At 45.9% G+C, this 13,285-nt stretch overlaps 1 annotated feature.

Moving 5' to 3' along the window:
- Positions 3,466-3,760: a silencer, noted in NCBI's record as "tiled region #3138; K562 Repressive non-DNase unmatched - State 13:Ctcf". NCBI's record gives its function as "represses a minimal TATA promoter and a strong SV40 promoter by Sharpr-MPRA in K562 cells {active_cell/tissue: K562}" and the evidence as "EXISTENCE:reporter gene assay evidence [ECO:0000049][PMID:27701403]".

The raw sequence follows: 13,285 nt of genomic DNA, 5'->3' as shown, positions 1-13,285 counted from the left end.
TCTCTATGTCTGTGGGAGGCAGGGATCTTCTCCAGAATTTTAATTTAGATTTATCTGACTTCAAATTACAAGACTGGGATAAAATAGCAAATATGGGTTGGCATAACTATTACAACTGTGGCCTTTGGACTTAAAAAATAAAAGCTGGGTTGAAAGCCTAGCTTCATTACTTGCTGGCTGGGTGACTTTTGGCTTCTAAGCCTTAGCGTTCCCAACTATAAAATGGGGATGACAACACCTGTGAAGATAATTAGCGGGTAGCACTGTATGAAGGGTCACATTTCTTTAGCCTCTACAATGCAGTGGCAGTTGAGTCCTCAAAGTCACTCTTTCTTCCTAGTGGCCTTTTGCCTCTTTTCCACTTTTACAGCTCACGCCTCTGGCAGATTTGTTAAAAGTGCAGATTCCTGGGCCCCAACCCAGAAATTTGAATTCAGTGGGTCTGCAGTGGGAGCCAGGAATCTGCATGTTTGTGGCATGTATATTCTTGTTTAAAAAAAAATAACTTGAGCTTTCAGATAGTTGAACACGGGGAGGTTCCTGGAGGGTTGTGCACCAGGGAGAGCATGAAGCTCCAATCCCCTTCCCCCAAAAGCCACCCTACTTATCTCTTCATCTATAACCTTTGCAATAGCCTCTATAATAAAATGGTAAACGTGAAATCACAACAGAATCTATTCAGTAAGGTAATGCCCAAAGCAAAGAAATCATATAGCCAGCACCCACGATGGCTTCCCAGTGATCTGCACTTCCCAATACTCAGGCCCCTGTGGAATGCCCTCCCACACCATGTCAGGGATGGCTCTGTGTGAGCAGTGGAATGTGGTAGGAATAATGCTCTGGGACTTTCCAAGTGAGGTAAGTAAAAGAAGCCTTGCAGCTCTGCCCATGACTCTCTCTTGGAACCTTCAGTCTCCATGTGTGAAGTCCAACTTCCCTGAGGTTGCCATGCTGGAGAGATCGCAGAGAGAGAGGCTCTGAGACCACAGGAAGAGAAAGAAATGTCCAGCCGTCCCCCAGCCATTTTAGCTTCAGCCAACCAAGTTATCCCAGCTGAGACCCTTGACATCATGGAACATCAACAAGTCATTCCCTTTAAACCCTGCCCCAAATGAAGTCTCATGAGTAAAATAAATAATTGTTGCTCTTTAAAAAAATAACAACTCCAGTATTAGTGACGTGTTTCATAACCTTTGTCCCAAGTTGAGAGTGGCTGTGGCAATTTGTGGGCAATTCAGCTTTGCCCAATTTGAATGCCTTTCTCCCCTCAAACTGGTGTGTCCTCCTTTTGCTCTGACTGCTTGGCAAAAAACATAGCCATTTCCTGCCTGGGCTGTCTATTCCATGAAGTCATGAATGGGTCCCTTCTGAGACATGGAAGGGAGAAAAGCTGCTTCACGTTCACTGTCTAGGGTACCATCTAGGAGGTAGCAGGAGCATCCATCAATACCCCAGAACAGAGGCGTGGAAGAGTGAAGGGACAGAGGTGTGAATTGCACCCTCTTCAAGGGAATCATGAGGCCTTGGCTCAAGGTTGTCTGCAATGAAGCCAAGGCCTGGGGGATGCACCTAGTCTGGGCTGGTCCTGCTCTGCATTCGTGCCCAGGATCCTGAACCTACTAAGTTGTTTAGTGATGGTGGTACACGCAGTAGTTCACCCTCTGTGGACTACATACAGAGAACACCTACCTGAAACATGTTCTTCAGAAGTTTGCCTCCTTTGTATTCTCAGCCCTCAAAATGAAAGCTGGGTGGTCTTTGGGTAAGGACAGGGGAACTAGGAGGTAGGGTGCAGGGTAATGATTTGCTACCCCTCTTTCTGGTAATACCACCACCCTCCCTTCCTAGTTTCTTAGGAGGCCCTTGATCTCTGGCTCCCTTAATGTGATCAGCAGGAGTAGTGGCACTCAACTTCTGTACTGCCTGGGAGTTCAAATCCTGACTTTCACTTACAAGCTTTGCTACCTCGAGCTGATGCGTGGCTCAGTTTTCTCACTTATAAAATGGGTCTTAGGGCCGGGTGTGGTAGTTCTCGCCTGTAATCCCAGCACTTTGGGAGGCCGAGGCAGGTGGATTGCCTGGGCCCAGAAGTTTGAGACCAGCCTAAGCAACGTGGCAAGACCCTGACTCTACAAAAAAAATACAAAAATTACAAAAATTAGCCGGGCGTGGTGGTGCACACCTATAGTACCAGCTACTCAGGAAGGCTGACATGAGAGGATCGCTTGAGCCTAGGAGGTCAAGGCTGCAGTGAGGCATGATCATGCCACTGCACTCCAGCCTGGGCAATAATAATAATGATAATAAAATTGGGCTTATGATAGTATCTATCTGTTGGGGGAGTTGGAGGGCTTAAATGCATCAGCGACTGCAAAGTGCATCAGCAGTGATTAGCACGTACTATAAACACGATAGACATTTGCTATACACTTGGCAGTTCTATTCACTTAGCAAACTGGGTGTGGGCACTATGCTAAGTATCATTTCATACAAGACAATCATTATTCTCATTTTACAGATTGAAGACCATGCTGAAAGTGGTTAGACGTCCTGTCCTGGACTTCATGGCTAGAGAGGGACAGAGGGTAGGGTTTGAGCCCAGATCCTGGCAGGCTCCAGGGCTTACGCTCTTCACCCCTGTTCTATCTCCATGGCTCAGCGGTTGCCAGTTTGGGCCTCATTTGCCTCACTCCATCTCTCTGCTCGAGCTCCCTATTCTCAGTAGGGCTGCTCACTCTTTTTGGCTGGGAAACTTGAGGCCATGGCTGATGCATTTCTGAACCCAGACATTGTGGTTTGTCAGCCACCATCTCCTCTGGCCCTTTCCCCTCAAGGAGCTAGAGTCCTTCCCTCTTCAAGGCTCACCTCCCACCTCAAGCCCTTAGATCCACCCCTCCCACCAGTTCTGGGATCTGCCCCAAGGCCCATTTTGTTTCTCTTCTATTTTTCTTCTCTGCCCCCTTTGCCTTTGTCCTGCGCATCTTCCAGGTCTTCAGCATCCACTGCCAGTCTCCCCTCAATGCTGTGTGTCATGAGGTTTGCCCTTCCTCCCAGGTAGCTGGCAGAAGAACCCTCCACTTCTTTGCCCCACTTTGTACCTCCCTGCCTCACTTCCACTCCCAAAATTACACAGGGTAGTAGCAGAGCAAGAGATCAGAACCGGCTCCGACACGTGGTCCCAGGGTCTTCCCACACCTACGTCCTCTCTTTGGAACATTTCTCAGAGCAGATAGTTGAACATTGCCCTGGCATCACTCTGAAGGAAGGAGGTGCACGAAAGATAGGTTTTGATGAGGAGGCTGGGAAGACTTGGGGGTCCAGGTTGGGGCAGCAGTGAGGGGAGGATCCAGGCTGGGAAGGATCCTTGGTGATAACAAAGGTGGGGAGAGGTCATCATGAGGCCACCCTGCCTGTTCCAAGGGCCACAGGAATCCTCACTGAGCCCTCCAGCACACGCAGTTCTCTTGTAAGGGGACTGGCAGCTGGTCTACACTGCCCACGTGTGGATGTGGGCCATGAAGCTAAAGCTGAAGTGCATGTCCTGGGGAGAGTCAGGTCAGGCAGTTGGTGGAGAGACTTAGGCCTTAGGAGAAGACTGAGGGACAGACCTGCTGGCCTCAGGAGTGGACATGCAGTCACCAGGGGGTGCTGCACATATATTCCGTGTGGCCCAAGAGCAGGCCCAGAGCCACAAACACGCACTTCAAGGAGTCAGGCTCCAGCTCAGTGTAGCCCAGGAGGCAGGTGGAACGGCTGTGTCTGGGAAGGCTGGGGGCTGCCCTCCAAGGAGTGTGTGCCTGCCCACCCCTGCCTCTGGCTCAGGCTTTGTGAGAACCAGTCCGGGGAGCTGGAGAAAGGAATGGGGCTTTGTTTCAAAATTTTCCAATTTTGCTAATAGCGTCTCTCCCATTTTTTTCTCCCTATCCTCCAGCCCACCTGTAACAAGACCTTTCGCCATGCCCGCATCCCTTAGAAGCTAGGATAGTTGGAGCTTGGAGGGACCTTGCAGATCTCTCCTGAAGTAGAGAAGTACAGCCCCAAGGAAAAGGGGCAATGGCTCAGGGCTATGCAGGCCCTGATTTGAATTACTTTGAATCACAGAGGGAGAAAGTTCCACTGCTTTTCATGCTTTTTTAGCCCTGATTACGGAAGGAGTGAGTCTCAATCTGGTGTTCATGTGTCTGTAATGACTCTAACTTACTAATCCCCAGTTCAACAGAAGGAAGCCAGGCTTTGGGTCAGAACTTTCAGGCCCAAACCGCATGAAACTAGAATCTCCTATCAGTGCTTTCTTTTCGTTGCTTTATTTTTAGTTATCTATTTATGGCATGTGATTTTGGTTTTTTATTTATTACATGATGACAGTATAAAATTTCTTTCATTATTTCTTACTGTTAACTTAAAAAATGTGGATAATTCCCAAGCATGTATCTACACTGTCACTATAGAGTATTTCTGCTCTCACTAGATACCTGCTCTCTAGTGTTCATAGGTGCCAGATAGTGAAAGCTTAGATACACATTTGGGAATAATCCTCACTAAATACATACATAATACATACCTAATAGCACATATTAAATGTATGGTATACATACATATAATGCATAATTATATAACAATATGTATTTATTATTAAATATAAATATATATTATTAAGAATAATCAATATACATACTATATACACACATGCACACATACTCAATATATACATATACTGCATATGTACCTATGTATACACGATATGTATATATTATTACTTAAAATTACACACGTACATTTACATATACCTAAAATGTTGCGTATATTCCTAAAATTTTATACATATAAACTATATATGAAAACATATATATAAATTTTTATATATAAAACATATATATATTTGTATGAGGCTTAACACACAGAAAATTGAAGTAATTATAACTGCACTTTTTACATAGTAAAAACGCTCATGAAACTACATCCAGGCCATTAAAAAAATGACCAGAATCTGAGGAGTCCCCCTGGTTGCCCCTCCCTGTCAACATCTCCCTCCTCCCCAAAGGTAACTGCTATCTGGACCTTGAACCCCCTAGATTTATTTTGCCTGTCTAAACCATTTTTACGCATCACTTTTGTGCATGTTTAAAGTTTATACAGTTGGCCTTATTCCGCATGAATCCTCCTGCAAATATTCTTGAGGTTTTTCCATGTTGATACTTGAGCTTCCTTTTTAAAACAAATGTGTTTAATTAAGAAGAATGAGTTGATTTAAAGGAAAACATCAAATGCATACTAGGACAAGTTGATCAGGGAGTGCCAGAATTCAGGAAACATTGGCTTTAAGCCCAGTATCTTCCCCTTTTACAGGTGTGCACACCAAGGTCAAGGGCCATAACAGCTGTACTGCAGGTCAGTCTGCATGTTCACGGCACAACTGGGATGAGGTTCCAGCCCAAGTTCCTGAGGTCGGAGATCTTTCCTACTACGTCATGTTGGCAAGAACATTCCCCTCTGCCTTACCCTACCCCACAGCTCTATTTCCTAGCCAACGTCGGTTCTTAACCTTGAACTGCAGAAAGTAAGCTGTTTTTGTTGTGTTTTATTGATCATTTTAGAATTAAGCCTAGAGTCAGGGTGGTGTGTTATTGGGGGACCAAGTCCCACCAAGGCAGCTGTCCAACCTTCAAAGTTATGACAAGCCTTCCACTTGGCAGCCCACCTCAGTGACCTATATTTTAATATGTGCTATTAGATTATTGCTAATGAGACATCTTAGGGATAAAAGAATTATGCTCGCTGCTGGGCTATGGTAAAAGTACAATTGAATTAAAGGCTGAAATCGTTTAGGACTCTGCTAGACAACCTGTCCCCCAGGCTGGGCCCGAATGGAGATATTAAGCTTTGGAAATTACACAGGAAAAATAAGTATAATTGATCTAGGGTAACTTCACTCATCTAAATTAAATAATGTGATTGTTACAGGCAGAAAGGCTCAGGATGAGAAGCCGGGCGGAAAAGGCTTGCTATCTGCAAACAAAGTTATAAGTGAAAGCCCCAGGGAATTGACTTTCCCCTGATGAGCCGAGCACCCTCCTGATGGCTTCTGAGAGTCCACTTGGTCATCAGCAGGAAATGGACCTGGTCTGAATGTTATAGAATCTGAGGTTTGCCAGGCGCCTCTGACCACCATCCTCACCAGCCCCTTCCCAATGCCTTAGCCAGCTCATGCCCCACCCGGCAAATTGTCCAGTGCTGTGTGCACAACTCTCTTGCTTAGAAGAGATTTCTCTATCCCAGCACTTTGGGAGACCATGGTGAGTGGATCATCTGAGGTCAGGAGTTCGAGACCAGCCTGGCCAACATGGTGAAACCCCATCTCTACTAAAAATACAAAAAAATTAGCCAGGCATGGTGGCGGGTGCCTGTAATCCCAGCTACTTGGGAGGCTGAGACAGGAGAATCGCTTGAACCCAGGAGGAAGAGGTTGCAGTGAGCCAAGACCATGCCTTTGCACCCCAGCCTGGGCAACAAAAATGAAACTCTGTCTCAAAACAAAACAAAACAAACAAACAAACAAACAAGAAGAGATTTCTCTGCTGGTGGCTGTAGCTGCTTTTATTTCCATCCATAGGAGTCTTGTGGTCTGCAATGCCTAAGGTCCATGCAACCTCATCTCCCTGGAGCCAGCCTCCAGAACCCCATGCCATCATCTATAAATTGCACAACTGTGTGCGGAGTGCCACTTACAGACCAGTCTTTAAATGAAGATATTGCATTTGCAGAACTTCGGAGCTCCGTCTCCAAGGTGCTCACTTTCTCTGGCCCAAACATTTACACTCCACCAACCCTCTCATTGATTCCAGGTTCCTTGGGGGCAATGCTAGTCCTGATGCTATTCATTGAAAGGCAGATGCTGGAGTCTCCCAAGCAGGAAGAGGTCCTGCAAACCTATAAGGGCTAAGATTTCCCAGGTCCTCCACTGATTCCCTTCTGCCCCAACTGGTGGCTCCCTTTGCCTTCCCTAGCATCTGTCTGTCCCACCCCTAGGCAACACAGCTGGCTGCTTGCAAGGTGAGACTTGAGGAGTCCCCAGCTATTCTTACCTTGTCCCAAACATTGTTGTTCTTAGGCCATAAAGTCCATGGTTAAGTCTCTTGTTTTAAGTATCACCCTTCTCTGGCTAAAAACCAACTAGAATATGTTAAAAAAAAAAAAGAGAGAGAGAGAGAGAGAGAGAGATTTCCTCTCTCCCTCCAATCTTTCTTTTTCTCTCCTTCCCTTCCTCCCTCCTTCCTATCTTCTTTCTTCCCTCCTTCTCTCCCTTCCTTCCTTCCCTCTCAAAAGCATTTCTTGAGTCATCCCTATGTATCAGGAACAATTCTATGAGCCAGGGCTATAGTGGTAAATAATACAGATGAGATTCCTGCTTAAAGTCAAGCCAGGAGAAAAGTCTAGAAACAAATAAACAAGGAAATAAGTAAGATGTGGATAGATATTGACAAGTCCCCAGAGTGGTGAGTTAGACTCCGATTGTCTGGGAAGGATCTGTGGCCAGGTGCTCAGAAATGTCCTCTTCAAGTTCTCTTGAGTTGAGCTCAGCCCTGCAGAGAGCCAGGGAGGAGTGAGTTAGGAAGAGGCAGCACCAGGTTCAAAAGGACTGGTAAGGGTTGGAGGAAGGCGCCCTGAGCCGAGAAAGAAGGGCAGTGCCACCCAAGTTGTGAGCAAGGGCAGATGAGAGTGAATGAAGAAGTGTCAGTGACCTGATTTTAAGCCACCTTTTGGCCACTGTAAGGAGGATGGCTTTTACTCTCAAGACAGTGGGAAAGCCACTGAAGACTTCATAGCTCGGTAGTGTGATCAAGTTTGTATTTTAAAGGGTCTGTCCCACTGCCGTGTGTAGAGCGGTGGGCAGGGGTGAAGCAGGGACTGGTCAGGAGGCCCTGGAGCCACCCAGGAGGGGAGAGTGTGAGAAGAGTTGAGGCTCTTCTCCCAGGCAGGAGGAGAAAGATTGGCCAGAAAACAAAAGTGTTTGTAATGACTTTCTAAAGTCCATCACACAAGGACCATCTGGGGACATTTTCTGATTCTAAAAAAAAATATAAAGAAATAAATTTAAAGACTAAATGAACATTCTCTCTCTAGTTCGTTAGAGATACGATTGCCCTGGCTCAGGAAACTTGCTGACTTGTCCCATCCTGCTGGGAAACCATCTTTGGGCCTTTCTCTGCCTCTTAAAATCAGACAAACACGAGCAGCTTCAAAGGCCGCTGGCTCTCTTCATCAGTCTGTGAACAGGAGAGAGCACAGATTTTGATGGTTCTTAAGTACGTCCTCAAACCTCACCCTGTCAACAAAAAGGTGGCTTTTTAGAATGTGGAACATGAGAAATCTCTGTTCCTCAAAAGCCAGTTATTGAGTTTGAGAGACTGTCTACATTCATCCCCAGAGATGATGCTTTTTAAAGCAGAAGCACAAGCTAAAGCTCTAACTTTGCCAGTATGGGCCTTTTCTGTTAATTCAGGAGGTAGAAATGAATTGAGTCTCATATACCTCAATCCTCCCCATTGCACTTTACACACGATCCACTCTTCGGGCCACAGTTTTTCCCTCTGTGTAATGGGTGAAACAATTCCTAGCATTCACATCTGTTCTGACTTTCTTTGTCACGGGGAGACAGATTCTTACCAAGAGGGAGTGACTGGCCATGGTGGACTTACAGACACTATCACTGGCGGCATTACCCGAGAGTGCTTTGAGTGAATGGTGAGCCCCCCACCCCTCTAACTGTGTCCTGCAGTGGGGAGCTGCTACTGACCAGGCAGGACTCGGGTGAGAGGGGAGGGCCAGAGACAGGATGGTCTGGCTCAGAGGGCTCACATCAGTGTTGTAATTACGTTTTCCTGACTTCTCCTGTTGTTTTGGCCACCTGGGGTCTTTACAAAACCTTCATTACTTTCCAATTGTCTGATTTTCTGTTTTCCTGTTACCTTCAGACTTTGAAATTAGTTCAATGACTCAGCCATTTGACTTCTTATTAATTCCAGTCTCCCGTATCCCATCTGTCCATTCCCCTTCCCGTTTTTCAGAAGTCTGGCTTATATAATACTTTAACTCTTCCCAGGCAGACACAGATGAAGCCACTGCCAGTCACTCCCTATTACCTGTGCCTCTAAAGTATCATGGTTCTGGATTACCTGCCACTTGTTATATTTTACGTGCAGAGAGTCTCATTTCCGGAGTAGAAAGAGAGTTCTGAAGTTTCTGCACATTTTCTTAAAATAAAAAGTCAAGACCCCAAATAAACGGGTCAGTTGAACACCATGAAATATTGCTAATAAGATAAATCACAAAATCTCTAGGATAGAAAGGACTTCAGAGTTTATCCAAAACAACACTTCTCTTTACCATTGTAGCCCTAAGAGTGGCCATTTCCCATGTGCTTGAAGGCCTCCCATGACGAAGTGTTTGCTACTTCCAAACGCAACTGATTCCACCTTCAGACATCTCTCATTGTTAGGGAGTTCTTTAGGTCAAGATCTGCCTCCCTGTAGCTTCCACCAGCTGGCCCTGGGTTTAGCTCCTAGATCTACACAAAAGAAGTTTGTACTCACCCTTCTACATAGCAACTCTGCAGACATTGAGGACAGGAACAACCACTCCCTCTCCCCACCCCCATCACCACCACCCACCCTGGGTTTGCTCTTCTCTGGGTACCCCCTGCCTTTAAGTGGGTCTTAAGAGACTGGCTTCAAATCAAAGCCCCTGGAATTGCCTTTGGAATTCAGCAGCTGCCAGGGACATCAAAGCTAATTGCTTAAGAGGCCACGGGGACACATTTCATCCCTGCCTCAGCTACTGACTTTCTGTGGTTTCATTTATCTGGTTTACATCGATTGCATCCCTGAGAAATGCAAACATTTGTACTGCTTCACTACCCTCAAGAGACCTGCCCCTCCTCTCTCACCAAGGACAGGTCATAACTATTTGGAATCACTCAAGAAGGTGCCTGCCAAGGGTCACTAGGGCAGCTGTGGCATTGCAGAGCCCAATGTTCAAGGCGGATCATGGAAGGAGTTACCTTTATTAGCAGGAGTCACCACCAGCCAGTGCCTTGTGGGCCAGCTACAGCCCCCAGTGGTGTTTATTTGGTACACCCAGTGCTTTGCAATCCAGGAAATTTCACATAAAACCCCTGCAATTCTGGCTTCTCATAAAGCATCAGGAGCTCTGTCTGACCACTCTTGTGTGTATGTGTGTGTGTGTGTGTGTGTGTGTGTGTGTGTGTGTGTTTGACAGGGTCTCCCAGGCTGGAGTGCAATAGTGCAATCTTGGCTTACTGCAACCTCTGCCCCCCCAGTTCAAGTGACTCTCCTGCCTCGGGCTCCAAAGTAGTTGGGATTACAGGGGTGTGCTACCACACCTGGCTAATTTTGTAATTTTAGTAGACACAAGATTTTGTCATGTTGATCAGGCTGGTCTCGAACTCCTGACCTCAAATGATCTGCCCACCTCCACCTCCCAAAGTGCTGAGATTACAGGCGTGAGTCACTGTGCCCGGCTGTCTGGCCACTCTTGAGTTTTGGAGAGGGCACAAGCTCTTCTGGTGGGCCTCAGGCTCCTTACTTCCTACCTGCGTTATGTTTCTGACCAGCCTCTGTGATGTTTGAGAGTTTGTAATCCCTGCCCTGGACACTTCCATCTCTTTGCACCAGCACTGACCTGATGATGGTGGAAAGGGCTATCACTGTGTGGGAAGGGACTATCACTTTGCCTCTATATGAACACCCAGGATTCTCCATTCCCACCAACCTCCTTAGCCATTGCTGGCCATCCACCTGAACTCCTACCTGTGGGAGTGTTGCCTGCTGTTCCCTGCCCTACTCGTCTTTGCACATGCCATTCTCTCCACCTAGGGCACCCTTCCCCACCTCCACAACCGTACCCCACTGCCCACCCCATTGTCTGATAAAGGAATATCCATCCTGCAGGATCAGCTTTGATGTCCCTTTCTCTGAGTGCGTGGTGTTGTGGTGTGGACCTTCACTTCCCTGGGCTCCCTTAGCATACTTTTTTTGTTGTTTTTATGTGTTTGCATCTTTTCATGCTTTAGCATCTTTCCCACAGGAAAGAAGAAAAAGCAGAGCCCCTGCAGGCAGTGTGATCTCAGATCTACACACGTGAAACAGAAGATTATATAATCTGATAAAATCATTGTTATTGTTACCCTTAAAGGACTGTAGAGTCTCAATGTGTGTTCACATTTATGGTGTCCTGGACGAAGCAGAAATAAACTCCAGAGTGACACCACTCAGGAAGGGACATTGTACATCACTGTACAAACATCAGGCAAACCTGGTGTTTGGAGTGTAAACCAAAAATAAAATTCTAAGCCTACCAAACTACTAAATGGAGCCCCCCTGCCTCTTGGCCAAGGAGATTCCCAAGTAAATCTGAAAAACTAGTTCGGGCCATGACGGGAAGGCAAGGGTCAGGCATGTTTGATTATGTTAGCAGCAGTGAATCTGTACGGGCCTGCAGCAACCTCAATTCTTGCCTCCTCAGAAGAAAGAATTCAACTGAGGGGCATAAAGCAAAGTAAGAGACCAAGGCAAGTTTTAAAGCAGAAGTGAAAGTTTATTAAAGGGTGTTAGAGCAAGAACAATAGGAAATAAAGTACACTTGTAAGAGGGCCACACAGGCAACTTGAGAGATTCAAGTGCGTGGTTTGACCTTTGACTTGGGGTTTTATACATTGGCATGCTTCCAGGGGGTCGCATCTTTTCTCCCCTGATTCTTCCTCTGGCCTGGGCAGTCTGGCCTGCCAGCACTTGGGAGGGACCACATGCACAGTGCTTTTAATGAACTTGTGTGCATGCTCACTTGAGGCGTTCTTCCTTTACAAGTTGAGTGTTCCTACAGGAAGGTCATATATCAGATTAACTCTGCAATTTTGCCTTTTAGTGTGCATGCTTGAGTCCACTTGTCCAACTCCTGAGATCTTATCAGAAGCTGCCGATCACCAGCTTCATGTATTTTCTGTCTATTGGGAAACTGCCTTTCCCTGGCTCCAGCTGCAACCAATTGTTATTCTAGAGAAACAGTTTAACAATCACCTGACTATCACCTGATGATCACCTGACATTCCTGGTGGGGAGAGGACTCTCTTGCCCTGCTTATGTCTGACTACCTACCTACTGTAACATTTCCCTCTTCAAGAGTCCAAGACCCCAGTTCTTTGGGGAAAATGGATAAGGATCACTTTTTTGTAGTTGCTTCCTGGTGATAGAGGGATAGTGGTGGTTGTTTTGCGGGTCTTGGCCTCTTGCTAGATGTCAGGGCAGGGTGGCTCTATGGGTTGATGGAAGTGGTATCCATCCAGGTCCAAGAGAGACAGGGGCAGGATTTCACCTTTGTCATGTTCCTCTGATGGGCAGCCTAGGAATTCTCTGTAGAAGAGTGACTCTTGAATATTGAGAGTATGGCATCCCTCACTGAGGATCATCTGGAGCTTGATGGTCTGAAGGTGAGAGGCAAAATAAAATAAGGGGTTGAGTACAGCTCCAAAAAATCCTGAGGCTGCCCACATGCCCAGGTGGCTGGTGGCTATAATCATGCCTGCTAAGACTTGGGTGCATGGGGTTGCTAGCCAATTCCAATATATGCCCATAATTAGAATATTGATCCACCTTGTTTCATCTGAGCTGCAGCCAGAGTCACTGGTTGGTTCCAGGAATAAGCAGGGTTAGTCTAAATTACAGACAAAAACTCAAAAACAACTGATTAGACTAGAATCTAATAACAGGCATACCATGGTCTTTAAAAAATAATTTTTCTCTCTCCAGTCCTCATTTTTATTAAAAACAAATTATGATAGGACTAATTTGTTTGCAAAATAGCTTTTGTCTTGTTATACTTGCCCAATTATTTGCATAAAGCACAGCAAGAATAGTTATTTGCCATATAGGTTCCTTTTTAAATTGGCTTTGATGGAACTTCATTTCATAAGACATCTTAGGTAAGATTTTTTAAAGCCTTCAGTCCAGCCATGGGACTGTGCCATCAAATGCCTGTATAAATTGGGTAAATTTCTCTCCTCTTGAGGTCCCAAGATAACTTGGCCTCCTGGGCCTGTAAAAAACTGACATTCTTTACTTACCACGAGTCAGGAATTCTGTACAGGGAGTGTATAGGCAAGGTATGAGGCCAGTTTTCCCAAGGGAAAACTATAAGTCAAATTTGATTCCTTAATGGAAAGCATGTCATTCCAGTTAAAGCCTTGGTAAAATAACCAGTGACTCCAATTGTG

This window comes from Homo sapiens, chromosome 16 (genome assembly GCF_000001405.40).
Source record: "Homo sapiens chromosome 16, GRCh38.p14 Primary Assembly".
NCBI classification, from domain to species: Eukaryota; Metazoa; Chordata; class Mammalia; order Primates; family Hominidae; genus Homo; species Homo sapiens.
The sequence above is the reverse complement of the archived record's forward strand: the minus strand, read 5'-3'. Positions and strand labels throughout refer to the sequence as shown.